Source organism: Homo sapiens, chromosome 5 (assembly GCF_000001405.40).
Source record: "Homo sapiens chromosome 5, GRCh38.p14 Primary Assembly".
In the NCBI taxonomy this organism is placed as follows: domain Eukaryota; kingdom Metazoa; phylum Chordata; class Mammalia; order Primates; family Hominidae; genus Homo; species Homo sapiens.
Genome location: NC_000005.10, coordinates 40,424,800 through 40,444,748, shown reverse-complemented (window position 1 = coordinate 40,444,748; position 19,949 = coordinate 40,424,800). Strand labels below are relative to the sequence as shown.

General features: G+C 39.0%; 1 annotated feature.

The window, feature by feature from the left end:
* Positions 2,668-2,962: a silencer, noted in NCBI's record as "tiled region #2267; K562 Repressive non-DNase unmatched - State 24:Quies". NCBI's record gives its function as "represses a minimal TATA promoter and a strong SV40 promoter by Sharpr-MPRA in K562 cells {active_cell/tissue: K562}" and the evidence as "EXISTENCE:reporter gene assay evidence [ECO:0000049][PMID:27701403]".

The window sequence follows — 19,949 nt, the reverse complement described above, 5'->3', positions numbered from 1 at the left end:
TATATATCTTCTTTGCTAAAACACCTATTCATAGCCTATGCCCATTTTAAATTGGTTAATTTGCCTTTTATTCTCAAGTTGTAAAAATTCTTTATATATTGTAGATATAAATCTCTTATATGTAATTTTTGAAAATTTTCTCCCATACTGTGGGTTATCTTTTTACTTTCTTGATAGTGTCCTGATCTTGTTCCTGATCTTAGGGGAAAAGCATCCAGTCTTTCACCATTAAGTATGATGCTAGCTGTGGGTATTTCTAGACAACTTTTATTTGGTTGAGGAAGTTCCCTTATTTGCCTAGTTTGTTGGGTGTTTTTATCATTAAAGGGTATTAGATTTTGTCAAATACTTTTTATGCATCTATTGAAAAAAATCTTGTGGTTTTAATTTTTTATTCTATTTATATTTTATTGATATGGTGTATTGCATTACTTGATTTTCAGATGTTAATTCAATCTTGGATTCCTGGGATAAATCCCACTGGGTCATGATATAATTTGTATTATATGTTGCCGGATTTAGTTTACGATTTTGTTGAGAATTTTTGCACCCAAATTTATAAGAAATATTGGTCTATAGTTTTCTTTTCTTATCTGGCTTTGGCATCAGGATTATACTTTCCTAAAAAAAAGAGTTATGAAGTGTATTCTTCTCAACTATTTTTTGAAGAGTTCGTGAAGAATTGGTATTAATGCATGGTTAAATGTTTGGCAGAATTTATCGGTAAAGCCATCTGGACCTGGAGTTTTGTTGTGTGAATAGCTTTTTATTATAAATTCAATCTCTTTACTTGTTATAGGTGTATTCAGAATGTGTATTTCTTCTTGAGTCAGTTTTGGTAGTCTGTGCTTTTCTAGGAACTTGTCCCTTTTATTGGTATACAATGGTTCATAGTATTTGTTTATTATTCTTTCTATTCCTGCAAAGTTATTATTAATTTCTCCTCTTTCATTTCTGATTCTAGTAATTTGAAATGTTAGTATTATGTAATTTTTTGTTGGTCAATCTAGTTAAAAGTTTGTCAATTTTGTTGATTTTCATTATTTGTTTTATTATTTTTCTCTATTTTCTCTATGTTATTTATTTCCATGCTGATCTTTAGTTTTCCCTTCCTTCTTCTTGCTTTAGGTTTAGATTTCTCTTCTTTTTCTAATGTCTTAAGGTTGTTTGAAGATTAGGTTATTTATTCGAGATCTTTATTCTTTTCTAACATAGGTATTTACAACTGTAGGTGTTTCTGTAAGAACTTATTCAGCTAAATTCTATGTGTTTTGGTATGTTGTATTTTCATTTTATTCATCTCAAAATATTTTCTAATTTCCTCTTTGATTTTTTCTTTAACCCATTATCTGTTGAGAAGCAAATTTCTGTGTTATTGATTCCTAATTTCATTCCATTGTGGTCAGAGAATATGCTTTGATTTCAGCCCTTTAAAATGTAGCAAGATTCATTTTATGGCCTAGTGTATGTTCTTTCCTGAGGAATGTTCCATGTGTACGTTACAGGAATACATATTCTCCCTGATTGGTGGAGTATTTTATACAGAGATGTATGTTATGTCTTGTTAGTTTGTAGTGTTATTGAAGTCTTCTATTTCCTTGTTGATCCTCTGCCTATTTGTTCTATCCATTGAAAGTGGAATATGGAAATCCCCAACTATTCTTGCTGTGGTATTTAATTTTTAATTTGGAAGACAAGTTCATTCTACTTCATTCATTAGACCTGAGTCTGAATAATTTTGGATATTTCCAAAACAAAATACATGTCCCATGCCCACATTATATTAAAGACGTGTTAGTTATCCTTTATCATAGTTTATACTGAATTAATATACTGAGCCTGAATGAATGAAGGTTCATTTCAATATTCCAAGGAGCAATGGCAAGCAGGGGCATATACAGAGCTGAATCATTACACAAAATTTTTAAAACAATACTCTTTCCAACTATATTTATTATGAAAGTTTAGTATGGCAGCTACACTGGACATCATGCTGGATCTCGAACCTAACCACCATTCACAGTAATGTTTCTGTTGCAATTTGTATCCAAGTTCAAAACACTAATCTACATACTTTTAAAACACAATTAGCTCAAACACTTGAGTCTGCCTGGACTTTGAGTTCCTGCCAGGTTAAATGTTTAACTTTTGTGGCCCCAAATCTCATGAAACAACAAGGCTTTCTTGAAGCCCTTTCATACTAGCTATTGCTATGCATACAATGTATTTCAAAACAGTTCAGATGTTAGAGAGGAAGTGAGCAGCACCACAGGGAAGGAGAATTCATGTCGTGATAGCAAACAAATAGTACATTTTAATCATATGATGTCGTGGGCTTCTCAGACTACAGCTAGTATTTGATGTCTTATTACTTTATGTTGTTCCTTGGGGATACCAAAGATTGAGGCAGTTTCTCTCCCAAGGATTAAAGCTGGGTGAACTTATTTTGGGAACTAATACTTTGATAAAAAAAATAGATGTCATACTGACCTGTTAGTGATTATGGCATTCAGTGTAGACTATAGATTTAAAGATTATGACAGTTGATACTTTATCAACAATAAAACACATTTATATTTTATGTCCAATTTATGGTGCTTTTATAATCATAGCAACCCTCAGACAGACAGGGCTGGGCATGAAGTACCTGAAAGGGGGTGCGGGAGGAGGCAGTAGTAACATGTACAGTGCTATTGTACTAGCATAGACTTCCGTGTCTGGCTCTGCCTCCCAGTCTGTCCTTGTTATATTACCTTTATGTTTCCAGGATGTCCTTGGTGATAGCAAGCGTGGCTGGATGTGAACTGAGGGGGCAGCAGGATTTTTTTTTTTTTTTTTTGCTCTAACCTTTGTGAGATCTAGCTGAGTGCCAGAGGCAGAGGAAATTTGTTCTCTGAAAGGAGGTGGTGTGGTTGGAAATATGTGGGATGGGTGTTAACAACATCTAGTTTCTTTCCTGCCAGTTGCCCCGCCTCTTTCTCATAAGCTTTTCTAAGACATCTCTGTGCTTCTATTAATAAATTTTCCATTGTTGAGCATTAACGGAACTTAAAAATCAGTTAAACTGTGCAAACAAAAGTTAGCTCTATGATCAAGTCCTACAATACCCTAAAGACAGAGCTGCGAGGAGAACGCAGGTATCCACAATCCAATACTGTCCTTCCAGTAGCCCCTGGTAGACCAATTCATCCCTCTTTTCTGGCATCTACCCTCTGTTTTGTAAGGCTAGGAGGTTCCATGATGATTAAAAATATGTTCTGAGACATTCTTCTTTTTTATTTTAAACACACACACCCTTTCGTTAGCCACCGAAATGTTTTTTTCTCTGAGACACGTCTGGCCTCTTGATTTTTTGAAAGTCTTCCCTCAAATTCTCCTTTTCTTGATGTCATGGCCTTTCTGCCTTTCAGCTGGAATCCAACCTCTTATCCGTAACACATATTAGATAGTGGTGTGTAAGTGGGACAATGAATTCATGTGGCATGGAATCTAATTTTGTAGACTTCGTATTTTTGCTTAGGAGCTACTTAGGTTACATTCTGTTGTTTGTCCACAAAAAAAGTCAATGCCAAGAGAAATGTGATGTACAGCCCTGTTGCACATTGAATAGCTTACTGGGGTCATTGTAGTCCTCACACCTGTCTGCAGTGAAGCTGGCAGTCCCAGGAATATGGTTTCTCCTGGAAAGTCAGAAAAAAGTAGTGTGCTCCCCAGATCTTGTCCACTCACCCTTTAACTTTCTGTGGACATCTAAGTTTGTTGTAATCCTACTCACTTGAAATATTCATCACTGGAAATTCCTAACTTGAAGTCATGCATTATTCTGTTTAAGGATCCAAGGAAACATCATTTTAAGACACATTATTATTGAGAATGAACCTTATGTTGACAAAGTTAGAACAACCTCTTGAGAGGGTTTATAATCACAATGACCTTTTCGGTTCTACCTATGAGGTCACCAACTGATGGAAAAACAAAAAAATTAGTTTCTTTGACTAGTTTCTGTTTGGAATGCTTTCAGACAAGGCAGAAAAAGGGAAATTTAGGAATTAAACATAATTTACAAGCAATAAGAAAATTCCTACTGATAATTTCCCTAGGCATACTCAGGGAGCCCAGGTAAACAGAAAAGGGATTTTTTTAAAGTGAATTTCAAAAGGATTTAATCAGAGTGAAGTCCCAGAATGGAATAGGGAGGGAGAATGTTGTTATACAGAAGAATGATATTCTTTTTTTAAAAGGGTCATAGAGAATACAAGAAGAGGTAGCAGTAGGGCTCTGATAAGCTTAAAGAAGTTATGCTGCTTTTCATTTTATCCTGTTAGTTGATGCTGACCTCTGCTAGGAGACTGAATCACTGGAGTTAGGTTAGGCTTATGTTGTCCAATACGGTAGCCACTAGTCACATGTGGCTACTGGAACACTTGATATGTGGCTAGTCTAAATTGAGATATACTGTAAGTGTGAAATAGTCACTGTATTTTAGTATGAAAATTTAGTGTGAATAAAGACTTAGTATAAAAAGAGTGCAACAAACTGATAATTCTAAAAAATTGACTACATGTTGGAGCAATAATATTTTGAACATATTAGGTTAAGTAAAATATATTATTGAAGTTAATGTCACTTATTTCTTTTTTACCCTTTTTACTAGAAAACTAAAAATTATACACATGGTGGCCGGGCGTGGTGGCTCACGCCTGTAATCCCAGTACTTTGGGAGGCTGAGATGGGCAGATCACAAGGTCAGGAGATGAAGATCATCCTGGCTAACACAGTGAAACCCCGTCTCTACTAAAAATACAAAAAATTAGCCAGACGTGGTGGTGTGTCTGAACTGGTGGGTTCTTGGTCTCACTGACTTCAAGAATGAAGCTGCGGACCCTCGCGGTGAGTGTTACAGCTCTTAAGGTGGCGCATCTGGAGTCTGTCCCTTCTGATGTTCAGATGTGTTCGGAATTTCTTCCTTCTGGTGGGTTTGTGGTCTCGCTGGCTCAGGAGTGAAGCTGCAGACCTTTGCGATGAGTGTTACAACCCTTAAGGTAGCGCGTCTGGAGTTGTTCCTTCCTCCCGGTGGGCTCGTGGTCTTGCTGGGCTCAGGAGTGAAGCTGCAGACCTTCGTAGTGAGTGTTACAGCTCATAAAAGCAGCGTGGACCCAAAAAGTGAGCAGTAGCAAGATTTTATTGCAAAGAGCGAAAGAACAAAGCTTCCACAGTGTGGAAGAGGACCGGAGTGGGTTGCCACTGCTGGCTCTGGCAGCCTGCTTTTATTCTCTTATCTGGCCCCCACCCACATCCTGCTGATTGGTAGAGCCTAGTGGCCTGTTTTGTCAGGGCGCTGATTGGTGCGTTTACAATCCCTGAGCTAGATACAAAGGTTCTCCACCTCCCCATCAGATTAGTTAGATGTAGAGTTTCAACACACAGGTTCTCCAAGGCCCCACCAGAGGGCCCCACCAGAGCAGCTAGATACAGAGTGTCCATTGGTGCATTCACAAACCTTGAGCTAAACACAGGGTGCTGATTGGTGTGTTTACAAACCTTGAGCTAGATACAGAGTGCTGATTGGTGTATTTACAATCCCAGAGCTAGACATAAAGACTCTCCACGTCCCCACCAGACTCAGGAGCCCTGCTGGCTTCACCTAGTGGATCCCGCACCGGGGCTGCAGGTGGAGCTGCCTGCCAGTCCCGCGCCATGCGCTCGCATTCCTCAGCCCTTGGGTAGTCGATGGGACTGGGTGCCGTGGAGCAGGGGGTGGTGCTCGTTGGGGAGGCTTGGGCCGCACAGGAGCCCATGGAGTGGGTGGGAGGCTCAGGCATGGCGGGCTGCAGGTCCCGAGCCCTGCCCCGCGGGAAGGCGGCTAAGGCTCGGTGAGAAATCGAGTGCAGCGTCGGTGGGCTGGCACTGCTGGGGGACTCAGTACACCCTCCGCAGCCACTGGCCCGGGTGCTAAGTCCCTCATTGCCCTGGGCCAGCAGGGCTGGCTGGCTGCTCCGAGTGCGGGGCCCGCCAAGCCGACGCCCACCCGGAACTCCAGCTGGCCTGCAAGCGCCGCAGGCAGCCCTGGTTCCCGCTCGTGCCTCTCCCTCCACACCTCCCTGCAAGCTGAGGGAGTGGGCTCCAGCCTTGGCCAGCCCAGAAAGGGGCTCCCACAGTGCAGCGGCGGGCTGAAGGGCTCCTCAAGTGCCGCCAAAGTGGGAGCCCAGGCAGAGGAGGCGCCGAGAGCCAGCGAGGGCTGTGAGGACTGCCAGCACACTGTCACCTCTCGGTGGCATGTGTCTGCATTCCCAGCTACCTGGGAGGCTGAGGCAGGAGAATCACTTGAACCCGGGAGGCAGAGGTTGCAGTCAGCCAAGATTGAGCCACTGCACTCCAGTCTGGGCAACAAAGCGAGACTCCGTCTCAAAATATACACACACACACACACACACACACACACACACGATTTGCACTTGTGGCCCACATTAGCAAGACTCTGTCTCAAAAAAAACACTATATATAGTATGTGTGTGTATATATATATATATATATATATACACACACACACACACACACGGTTTGCACTTGTGGCCCACATTATATTTTTATTGGATGGTGCTGATTTAGGCACTGCAGAGCTGGGCCTTTTGGGGAAGATTTGTTAGCTGTCTGGGCTTCAGTATGCATGTGTCTCAAAGGCAGGAGATAGAGGTGATGACCTGGACCTGCTTTTTGTAGACTTGGATTTTGTTTTCTTAATTTCTAAACTTGGGTCCTTTCTCCAATAGATAAATTTAAGCCTCGGAAAACTATTTATTATGAACAGCTATTTAGGTTTCCACAACAATAGCCAATTTTCAAATAATCTCTAAGTATAGCTCCTTCCTTATGACAAGTAAATAGGAAAATGTAACTGATATGTTGGGGAACCTACGGGTGGAGAGTACAGGACAGCGGTCAAAGAGTGAGTCAGGGCCAGGGCTAGCATTAGCATCTCTGTGACTCACAGTTGCACTCTAACCACTTGATGATTTTCATCTTGAGAAATACTGAGTGTGATGGCCCTTTCACACCAGGAAATACTGAAAATTGCTGAATCGGTGTTTGTCAAGCTGATAATTTGACTGATAAAAGCTAGGTGGGTGCAGTGAAATGGGTGGGTTCTAGCCTGCAGCATTGTGCTATCTGTGTATGAGCTACCGTAGGGTTACATCACTGGTTTGACTCAAGAAAGAGTATAAGGGGAAGCCACTGATATTACCTGTTTAGTGAAACATGAAGGAAATCCCACTGCAGAAGTGAAAATGTTACTGCCTACTTTTACCAGTAATTTCAAATGTAAACATTTAATTTAAAGAAATACTAACAATAAGCTTATGATAATTTCTACAAGGCTGAAGCCTAGCACAATTGGGTGAAAGAAGAATTTACATAGATTCACTGGCATGTCAAAAGGTATTTGTGCAGGTGTGTTGTCACCTGACCAAGGTGTCCATACCTGTGCTGTAGGTATATTTAAGATTTTGAAGATTATATTTGAAAAATATTTAGCTTTGTCCTCATAATCGTTTATACATGATTTTCTTGTGGTGATGACCACAAGGTTTTACCGTTGTGTGTCAACATCTGTGTCTCCACAGATGTTGACTCTGAACTTCTCAAGGTAAGGGACTGCATGTTTTTCCTTCAGTTTCTCTGATACTGAGCAGCATCTGCTATGTCGACAGTGGTTAATAAAGGTTTGATGAATTGAGTAGGTCTCCTTCATTAGGTGTATGAGGCAGAAAGAGGAAAAGAGAACTCGTGATGTACAGGAGCTTCTTCTTAAAGGGACTAGTGGGTAGGGAATCTAACTCCATAATCTGTCATTTCCAAATACCTGCCTGTTCTTTGAGCTCAAAAAAGTGGAAAGGAGAAGGCCTTTAAACTTTTGGATATAGAAACCTCAGTGTGGAATTAAGCTTGAGGTAGATGGTTGAGAACTAAAATGTTATGCGTAAGACATTAACAGGATTGACGTGTGACAGGCTGCAGCTAGGAACCAGAGGAAAGGAACCAGAGAGGCGGAAGAGATGTTATGGGGCTGAGTGGGGAACAAACCAGCGAGAAGTTATTCATGGCAGGAAATGGCTAGTACTTTTTCAAACAGTGAGTCTGAGGTTTAATTTTCGGTTTTTGTATTGCTTCTATTATAATCTCAGAAAAAAATCCATTGCCTTCAAAGTGCTTAAATTTCCAGTTGGGAAAGGAGCCTGCGTGTGTGTGTGTGTGTGTGTGTGTGTGTGTGTGCGCGTGCCCATGCCTGTTGTGGGGTAGCAGGTAAGGGTGGAAAACAAAACATGGTTTTTATCCCCCAAATTACTCTTTCTTATTAGGGAAAAGGAATAAAGAATGAAAGTTTTCCTTTGGGTTATATCTAAGAACTGGATAAAGCTCTGGGGATGTCCTAAGGAATAATTTCTTATGTAATTTTTCAAAAAAAGTCAGTTTTTCATTTTAACTGGTCTGCTGATTTTTGGGGGAACAACAGTACAATTTGCAATTTGATGCCTACATATTTATAGGGGAGTCCTGTCCTGTCTATCTCAATGTTGAACCCAAATTCACATTGTCCTCCACGTAAGCTTGCCCTCCACTCAGAGCCACTACCCCACTGACCAGTCACGGAGGACAAAGGTTCTGCTGGTATCACAAACTCTTATCTCCAGAGAATGACCTACTGGATGTTATGGATGTGGACCTAATTGGAATGAACAAAAGCAAATTAGTTGTCATTGAAATAAGAAGTGGTGCCAGACAATATAAAAGTATTCACAGGTTTCAAAAGTTAGGGTGCTTCAAAAATGCCTCACTCTCAGCAAACTATCGCAAGGAAAAAAAAAACCAAACACCGCATGTTCTCACTCATAGGTGGGAATTGAATAATGAGAACACTTGAACACAGGAAGGGGAACATCACACACCGGGGCCTGTTGTGGGGTGGGGGGAGGGGAGAGGGATAGCATTAGGAGATATACCTAATGTAAATGACAAGTTAATGGGTGCAGCACACCAAAATGGCACATGTATACATATGTAACAAACCTGCATGTTGTGCACATGTACCCTAGAACTTAAAGTGTAATAAAAAAAAAAATGCCTCACTCTTGCAGCTGCATGTTTCTTTATAAATCATGGTAGGATTTTTTAAAATTCGTGTTTTCTTATGTGATCTCTTTCCAAAGAAAACTAAGTCATTTCAGACAAAGATAATTATGTTTTATTTTAAATATTATATAATGATGACAATTATATGGGTGTGCTTCTATCTTCACTCTCTTTTATTTAGAATTAGGTTTACCTTAGGAATTACATAAAACTCAACTAGCAGTGGCTTACATAAATAGGAATTTATTTGTGTTATAAACACAGACACACACACACACACACACACACACACACACACACACAATCTGGGGGTAGGTAATTCAGGGATGCCATTAGGGACTCAGGCTGATTCTTTCTGTTCCTGTCTTCAAAATGTAAAATTGGACCTCTCGTTTGCCACCTCATGATCACAGCTAGCTGTGGAACCCTCAGACTCCTGTACATTATTGGGGCATTTGAAAATGGATAAAGAGTAAAGGGCCAAAGAGGAATGCCAGTTAAATCTCTATCCTAAACGATTTTCCCTAAAGCTCCACTCAACAATGTCTGTTTATATCTCATTATTAGATCTTACATGCCAACCTCTATCACATGCATATTGCTGTCCCAGATAAAACTGGGCTTCTCTTACCAAGGAATAAGGAGACTTTGCCTTGGTCACCACGAGCATTTGCTACTCTTCCACGCTTCCTCCTCAAACATGAAATATTTGTAGACCTGTAGGATATTTATAGTTATAAAAACCTTAGAGACAACACAAACCAACATTGCCTTCTCATTTTACAGATGAGAGTACTGAAGACCAGAAATATTAGTTGAATTTTCCACTTGAAGAACAGAGGAATGGAAAGCTCAATTCTTACATCACTCATAATGGGTATTAAATTTAGTGCTTTATTGTGTATGCTAGAGTGTAAATTACTTGAATTACTTAAATGTATATTGCATTTGTTTCTTGAATATATTTTGCATTTTAAAATTTTGTATCTTGTATTTCTTACTTGAATTTATTGTATATTGTATTTGTGTATTCACTTATGCTTATTGTTTTGCATTTCTTTATTATATATGTGTTGTATTATTTATTATAATTGTATTTACTACTTTGAGTTGGTTGCATTTATATGAATTATATTTTGCATTTATTGTATATTATAGTTTTTACTTAAATTTACAGTATAATGTTTTATTTTATATGTTAGAGTGTAAAGAACTGCCAAGTTTATTTTTGTTTCTCTCTCAGTAAATACCAAAAAAATCCACTGTAGAGACCTCTTTAAACGTTATTTGAATTCATTATGTCATGAATATCATCAATGAAAAGGGAGGAGGAAGAAAACTTATAGATAAAAGGAATCAATTTGAAAAGTAGAAGAAGTACTGTAATGCCAAAAACAGTAATCAATCAGAAAACACACTTTGATGTATAGGAGTACATCAGTGATGGAACTGAACTTTCACTTATACCACAAAGTGCTGCATAAAAGCCCTGATGAATGGAGGGCAGAATGAAGAGGGGTGACGTGAATTCCTCCGTGACATCTTTGCTGCTTGAGACTGCTGGTTGGGTGCCATTGTGGTAGATGTGTATGTTGAACCAACTTCTTCCAGGCTTTATATGTTGTTTACTCTCCAAATTTCTTAATTCTATTAGTGGACCATTGCTATAGAGTGTCCCAGTTTCCTTTCTTTTCTCTATAACTTTCAGCAGTAAGGGGAATGACTAGAAATTCCCCACACAGCAAGAGCTGTTCTAGCTTTCCTTTCAGAAAATGAGTTTAGTTTGAAAAGGTCTCATTAGGCTGAGTTTGTCCTAGTCTTCACTTTTTGTGTCTATTTTCCTATGAGTACTTTCTGACATACATCATGGGAATTAAGGGTCATAGCTTAGAACCTCCAAGAAGACCTTTTTCCTTGACTTTCCAGTTTCCCTACAACCCATTTTGCACAGGCTCAGGGGTCACATATTCTAAATATTTCTTAGAACACAGTTTTTGAATACATATTTTAGATTTTTTGCATTGATTTCATGCTACCTGTGCTTAAAGCTTCTTATCTAGACAAAGGCTGTGCTTTTTAATCACTTAATTATGTCACATTGAAAGGCACCTTTAAGTGAAATAATGAAATTTCCTTCTTCCTTTAGGGGAAGAGAATGTGTCTCTCACTCAACACATTACCAAGTATTTTACTATCCCAACACTATAGAAATAAGAGTTTGGTAAACTACCACCTTGAAAATTGCCAAAATTTGAGTTACCTAAAGAGAACCTGGAGAAGTTGACAGTTACCACCCTGGGTCAATCTGGGCTTAATTGACTTGGTTTAAGTGATGCCAATTACCTCCAATTCTTGAGTGAGCTGTGTTGGAAGTAACCACCAGTGGAAAAAAGAGACAGCTCAAAAGGGAAGGTAGCCTTCAAAATAGGAAGAGACTTGATGAGTAGACAGACTTTGAGAAGTGTGGCATCTGCTATCAAGGGTAAATGTCAGTGGACAAAATAGTTTAACTTTCGTAAAAGATATCAGTCAACACTTGCCCTAGTACTTGTCTCAGGAAATAAGCATGACAAGGCACTCCAGGGGTCCAGTAATAGTGATCTTCAAGGGAGAGAAAAGGGGTAATTCTATGGTATTCACAATTCAGAGAGAGAATCTCTGGGGGTAAAAGTAAGAACAGGATTTGCAGAGGGCAAAGTGGATCAGAGTCAGAAATGATGGTCTTGGTGGTTCAATTAGGAAACAGAATTAAGGAGGCTTTGAGGCCCCAACTGGACCCTGAAAAACGACTTTCTTCAGTTTACAGACCAATTATGTTTCACAACTGGGTCTCTTATCGTATCCCTGTGCTTTATTCTCTCCCTCTTCTTCTGCTACACACTTCATTTATTATTAAAATTTCCTTTAGAATCTTAACTCAGAAGAAGTCAAGATGTATATATATTCGGGATGATACATAGAGAGGGTTGCATGGGTTTGTGTTTATGGATTTATGTTTGGAAATGGAGGTGGAGAAATGTCAGTGGACCAGGAAGAAAAGTAATGCAGGAGCATAAAGCAACTGGAAATACAGGAAAAAGAGAGAATTATGTGTTTCAAAAAATTACACTCCACTGTTGGACAGCTCTGATGGTGAGAAAGATTCTCAGGTTGTTTCCACTCATTAAGTTTTGCCTCCAGGAGCAATAAAAATCAATCAAATTTATCTCCAGCAGAACAACTTCTCCGAATTGAAGCTAAGATTATATTTGTCAGAATTCTAAGGGAACAAGTAATGTATTCCCAATACAAATAAATGTATAGTAAAAATTATTGATGATAGTAAGCATACCCTTAATAGTTTTGTTAATCAAATCACATACTGTAAACATTTCCAAGTAATGCCTTTTAAATAATTTTAGCATTAAGTAATTAGCTTAACAGTACATTCATGAACAGTTGTTAGTCCTACTGAATGTCTTTTTTCTGGCTTTGAATCAAAAGGATGAAGCAGCTTTAAATGGAAGCTTCTGCAATTCTAAGTGCTAGAGTCTCTTGGACCTATATTTAACTTCAATAATTTTGCCTTATTTCAGGCATCCTTTTCCAAGAAGAATTCTTCTACTATGGGGTGGAGTGGAGGTTGGAAGTTAAACTCAACCAATACAGGGAACAAAGCGCAATAAAAATCAAAAGAAAATATTTACCTCTGGGCAAAGGACACACACACACACAGCATGCATGCATGCACACACCCATGCTATTTCATTGCTCTGACCTCACTCCCTAGTAGCAAGAAGACCTTATATATGTATTTTTGTAGGCTCTGCTCCTTGGGCCAAAGGCAGAAATCTCTGAGCTTTCACCTTACTTTCTTTCATGTCTAACAACTGAATGAGGAGAAGAGTTGAGTTACTTTAAAAATAATTCTTGCTAACAATTGATGATTGAAACTCTATTCTTCCAGATCTAGCTATGATGCAGGTTATTTAATTTTAAATATTGCATCCTGGAACAATGTGATATTATATAATTTCTAGTTAGCTAGCACTTTGACTCTTAAAATTGTCAAGTGCCCTAAGGGAGAATAGGTGGATCGCAAGCATTATATCAGAAAAGCCATCTTCCCAAGTTGGCTACCAAAAGCATTTCAGCTATCCATACGAGGATCAACACCAGACAGTTGGTTAGCATAATGAATGTCAGATATATTTCTTTAATTTGTGACATTTGTGGCTAGGTAACATGATGGATACTAGAAACAGGCTCACATTGATAACATTAAAGTTATTCAAGACATGTAGTTTGGCTAAAATATTTTTAAAGATACTTCCCACTTTTGCATAAAGAAATTCTAACAAATAATAAATTCTATAACCTGTTCTTTAAGAATGTTGCTTGAAGCTTAATTCCTAAGTAATACTGTGTCTAGCCATTAAGTAGGAAGATTTCAAGTAGGTTAACACTAATGTCAGAGAACCTGGACCCTACCTTCTGAAAATTGTGTCCACCTCACAAAAACCTTTCATGGAAGGTGATGGTTTGACACCAAAAGGAGATCTAGGACTTCACTGAACTCACAGAAAAAGATTGCATTGACTATTTTGTTCTTCCTTGCTAATGAAGCTAGTCAGTCAACATGTATGGCAGAGTAGGGCATGGGACTTTTTGTACACAGGCTGTGAAAAGTAGCTAATATATGTGCACTCCAAACCTTTTCAGCATTTAATGTCATCCACCAAATAGGAGCTTAGAGTTGTGTGTGATCAGAATGGTTTGGGTCAATGTGTCATCCACCCCAAAGAATTTTTTTTTCAACTCTCTGTTCACTATAGCTCCTTATTTTAAACATCTTCAGCAGATTGAGACAGGACAAACAGCTTGTCATCATCAATTTGAAATTCCCTGAAAACTCAGGTTGTCATGAACAACCAAAGGAAGAAGGGTTGAGAGGCTAAAGAGAAAGTACATTGGGTCAGCTGGGGCTGTTCTCTGCCTGGCTGATGTGATGATCTTTCCCAAAGGGCAAGTGGGGACGGGAGACCAGTGTTCCTACTTATCTCCAGGGAGGGCTACGCTATGTCATAAAAGTCTGAAATGAGAGATTTTTATGTCCCTTTGGATTAGCTGCAAGGGTCAATGGAACAGTAAAGCCTGCATCATTTCCCTGCCCCTTTCCCTAGGCAAGGCAATGTGTGTGGTCGTCTGGGCAGAGCAGAGATGGTAGAATAAGTTGTCCCAGCTGGAGATGCTCTGGGACAAATCAGTGACTATGTTTTTTGTTACCCCTTGTGGCAGACTGCTTTGTTAGAACTTTGAGATAATCATATTACTGATATAAACTGAGTAAATACAAAAGATTTTGTCCTAATTTGAGTCTGCTTTATGTTCAATTATTGGTGATGTCATCTGACAAGTCATTTCCCATTTGCCTTTTGGGCTTTTGTCTCAGAAAGAAGGATTAGTAACTCAGAGTGATGAGATGAGCAGCTGTTGCTTTAGGAGAATCCAGGTGAAAGATGATGGTAACAGGTCTTTGTGTGTCCTGATTTCACCTCTCATCCTCCATCAGCTGGGGTTTTCTTGGCAGCCACAGCTGGAGCCACTGGGTGGAAGTAGGAAGATAGTCAGAGCCAACACCATCAGGAAGCAGATACATCACCCTGAGAACGGGAAGTGCTAGTCATTTAATAGTCTGTGCCAGATGACCTGCAAGAGAGAGAGAGGCACTAAGTTTTCTAGACAAAGCGCATGTTGCCTGGGAAAGTGGAAATTAAGACACTTTAAGAACTTTATCTTTACAATTATCTATATTTTACAGTTTCCAGCTCAATTTATATGGGTAATACAAGTTTCCTTGAAGATAAAATCAGGGTTTGGAATATGCAGTTATCATTGACTGTTAGAACATGTTCAGGCAAGGCTTGGGTATGTAAGTTCTTGGAACTACCACATTCCCTTTACTTGCCAGTTTTGTCATGAGTGGTTCTATTGATTGCATCTGTGGCTTTTTCTGGGTTTGCACTAGATTTGAAGACAGATAGGTGCAGCTTGGTAAAAATTATTTCTCTAATGGCAGTGACATTTTCATTTTATCTGTTGTGGAATCACAGTTCTTATTTTTCAGTTGTAAGATAGCATATGGGATTGTGATATATTTTCTGATGTCTCCTTCTACTTAACCCTGGTGCCCTGGGTAGGTGTTTTCTAGCAGGTTTTCACTGCATGTGTAACCATGTGTATGTGTGTGTGCATGTGTGTGTGAAATGCTCTTTCAGCATTTCAACTCCATAGGGCTTTTGCTGTGAAAAAAATGTCAAGATTTGAGGTTATTATAACCTGGCTGGGCCTAAAGGAAGAAAGTCATTTTCCAAGTGCTGACAACTACAGAAAAAGAAAGGAGCCAAATAACCAAGAGTGGAAGGGAACGGTTTGATTTTTACCTTCTAGCCCCTTGGTGTGGAATTAGAATATAATTGACCACTAACGTATTGAGATGGGCAAGGGGATACAAGGGTAAAGTGAATTTTTTCTCCAGATCATCAGCTAAGGTGTATTCTATACATTTCTGGGTCCTGAATGAGTCAAACATTCCATATGTATTTATTTTGTGTCAACAGATATTTATTAGGGCCTAGGGTTACTGTAGTAAAAGAATCAAGGGTTAGACCTCATGAAGTATGCTGGAGGGAGAGAAAAACAGGGAAACAGGTGAACATAAAATACAATTTCAGGTAGAGAGAGAGATATGAGAAAAAGTGATTAAGTAGAAACTTGCATTAAGTTCGAGAGGTAACCTAAGGAAGACCTGGGGCGGGAGGAGAGTGTGGAGGAAATGAAATAAGACAGTGTCTGGGGCTGGATAGTGGTGGGGGGCTTCAATCTCTGCTGACTGGGAAGCCTTGTGAATTTCCAACATGGAACTGAGGCTCTCTGATTTATGGCTTTAAAAGCTCACTCTAGTGCATCAACTCTTTTGTACTTTGCTGGCTATGTATCAGTGCTAGTAGAAAATCATTGTATTCTCAAAACAATTATTGAGAGGCCTCATGATACCTTTCATAAAGCTCTAGAAGTTTGTAACACTTTTTGATTGGGACCTGGAAAAGAAATAATTGGGGCATTCTTTGAAGTTGTATATTAATTCATTAGTTTATAACTCAAAGGGGGAAAATGTATAATTTAAAGAAAATGCCAGGAAAATAATCATTTTTAGTTGATTTGCTTACTATGTACTGCTTTCTGTGGTCAGGCCTTGCATTGGTGTCAGAAATTTGTTGGTTATTCAGCTGTCTATCAGTTATGCAAGGCAGTCTAACATGGTGAGTCAGAGGTGGGTCCCCAGAGGACAGCTGACTGCGTTTGAAATTCAGCTTTGCCAGTCCTAACAGCCACTTAGCTACTCTAGGCCCTTGAATAATTGCAAAGTATGGCATAATATGAGTGTCACCCTTATGGAGTTTTGTGAGGATAAAATGAGATATTATTATACATAGGAACTGCTTCTGACACCACTTAAGTACTCAGTGAAAGTTAGCTAGCTACTATTACCATTTTTGCTAAGGAAATTCCAACCATAGAAGATTTTTAAATTTCACACATGATAAATCAATGATAAGTTAATTTTACATAATTTGGAAGCCTGAATGGGCAGAATTATGAGTCTGGAATATAGTATTTTGGGAGTAACACTCAATATTAGGGTGATATTATGTTAGCACTAGACAATAGGCTTGATGGGGCTGGCATCGTTAAAGGAGAAAAGGCCCAAGCCTAGGGCAGATTTATGGTTTGAGGCTGCCAATAAGGATTTATAGCAACAGATGAGGGTTAGGGGTGTGAGGCATGCAAAAATGAGCTGAATTGAGAAAAGTTGCTCATGAAATGAATAGGTTGAGATGGACTGGGGAAAAGCCATGGCTGCCAGTAGGTATGTTTCTGTTTTGGACTTTGGTTTTTAGATGCTATCACCTCAAACTCTCTTTAGCATTATTTTCAGCTGAATTCTCTGAAGGACATTTTTAAATATGAAATTCTACATGTGAGCTTTAAAAATATGGCCAGGCAAGGTGGCTCAGGCCTATAATCCCAGTACTTTGGGAGGCCAAGACAAGAGGATCACTTGAGCCTAGGAGTTTGAGACCAGACTGAGCAACATAGTGGGATCCTGTCCTTACAAAACATTTTTAAAAACTAAAAAAAATAGCCAGGTGTGGTGGCACACACCTGTAGTCCTAGCTACTTGGGAGGCTGAGGTGGGAGATTCGCTTGAGCCCAGAAGTTTGAGGCTACAGTGAGCCATGATGGCACCACTGCACTCCAGCCTGGGTGACAGAGTGAGACCTTGCTCTCTCTCTCTATATATATATGTATCAGAATCTATGGGTTCAATCAACTGTAGGTTCAACCAACTGAGGATTGAAAATATTAGAAATAAAAATTGTATTTGTTTTAAACATGTGCAGACTATTTTTTGTCACGATGTCCTAAACAATACAGTAAAACAACTATTGACATAGCATTTACATTGTTTTAGATATTATAAGTAATCTAGAGATGATTTAAAGTGGTAGGATGTACATAGGTTATATGCAAATACTATACTATTTTATATCAGGGACTTGAGCATTCTCAGATTTTGGTATTTGTTGGATGGGGTGGGAGTGAGGGTGTCCTAAAACCAATCCCTTGTGGAAACTGAAGGACAAGTGTATGTGTATTTCAATGTAGTGCTTGCCTTTGAAAATGACTGTGATTTAAATAGCTGCTTTAAAATATATTTTAGTTTACATTCACCATTGGTCTCAGCCAGTAGCACAATACTATCATTTTGTCCAGTGGCTGTCATTTCTATTCTTCATCCAAGTTATTTAACATTTGAAATAATCCAATTTATGAATAGAAAAAATAACCCTGAGTACATCCCTCATGGAAAGTAATAAAACCGTTTTCGTGGGTTCCTGCTCAATTTCCCCAGCATGTGCTGTCTCTCTGAAGTCATGGTGATAACAGAAGATACCAGAAAATCAAATCTGTTTACCATTTGCCAATTTCTTAATCCCTTGGTCAGGGAAAAGCTCCATTTGGAGACAGAATTCAAAAAAATCCCATTTTGTTTTCTTATACTTCTCTTTCCTTTTACTCTCCTTTTTAATAATCTTTACTTTTTGCCCCTCCTTCCTTCCTTCCTTCCTTCCTTCCTTCCTTCCTTCCTTCCTTCCTTCCTTTCTTCTTTCCTTCCTTCCTTTTTTTTGTGACTGCAGAAGGAAGAACTCATTGTACAGAGGGAGTCATGTTGTGGTGTAATGATGTGAGCTCAAGTCACTTTGTGACCTTCTAAATTACATGGGCCCTTCTTAGACTCCTGCATTGCTTCTTATTTTTGAGCAGCAAATGACCCTAATTGACAGAGTTTCAATGTCAAACAATATTTTACACAGAAACTGAACTGAATACGAAAAGAAAAATGTTACAGGAGGACAGGGAAATAGTATAGTCCAAAATGGACTCAGCTTCCTGTCCATGCTTTAGTTGCTTTTTACAAAAACTAAGCAGTTAAGAATTCCACTCTGCATCAAGCAGAGGAAGGAGATGGCAGAGATATCAGAAAGGTAAAGCAGGGAATTTGGGAGAATTTTCCACTGAATAAATGTAAGATTAAGAGTTAATCATTGCGTAGTTTATAATGGGCAAATGATGATTCTGTATCATTTTTGAGATTTAGCAAAAGATCCCTTAAGCCTAATTACAACAATAAATTACTCTGCTGGTCAGCGTTTATCCATTACTCACTCTGTGCTTAGTACTATAACAAGGACTGTCAGGAATATAGACATATTCATCATAATCTCTGACCTGATTCTAAGACAGGTGCCAAGACCAGCTCGGTCAGGGAGACCCTAACCCAGGGGTGCTAGAGGAATTACACACACACAGAAATATAGAGGTGTGAAGTGGGAAATCAAGGGTCTCACAGCTTTCAGAGCTGAGAGCCCTGAACAGAGATTTACCCACATATTTATTAACAGCAAGCCAGTGATTCGCATTGTTTCTATAGATATTAAATTAACTAAAAGTATCCCTTATGGGAAACGAAGGGATGGACTGAATTAAAGGAATTGGTTGGGCTAGTTAACTGCAGCAGGAGCATGTCCTTAAGGCACAGATCACTCATGCTATTGTTTGTGACTTAAGAATGCCTTTAAGCGGTTTTCTGCCCTGGGCGGGCCAGGTGTTCCTTGCCCTCATTCTGGTAAACCCACAACCTTCCAGCGTGGGCTTTATGGCCATTATGAACATGTTACAGTGCTGCAGAGATTTTGTTTATGGCCAGTTTTGGGGCCAGTTTATGGCCAGATTTTGGGGGGGCTGCTTCCAACAGACAGGAGACTAAAAACATTAATAAATTAGAAAAATCAAAATAATTCTGAAAATCCCCATGAGTCTATTGCAGTAGGACCAGAAAGCAAATCAAACATAGGTGGACATATATCAAAACTCACATCCTGTGACTTAGTGAGTATTTAAGAAAGACAGATTTGGACATATTAGGATCTCAATAAATATATGTTTTGCAAGTGAAGAAATTAGAGAAGGAGAAAGAGTTTGGCATTTCCTTTTGAACGTTCTTCTGCCAGCTGTAGTCTTAGGCTGGTTAGGATGATATAATTATCATTAAGGAATATGTATCATATTTCGGATTTAAGTGATGGGCAGGTAAAATATAATTTGTGTGATGAATATTTTAGAAGCTCTTAATTGCATCTGAAGCACCTATTTACGGGGCCAGGGTATCAGATAAATTGCTCACCACCTCCACATTTTCTTTGAGATGAAGATCT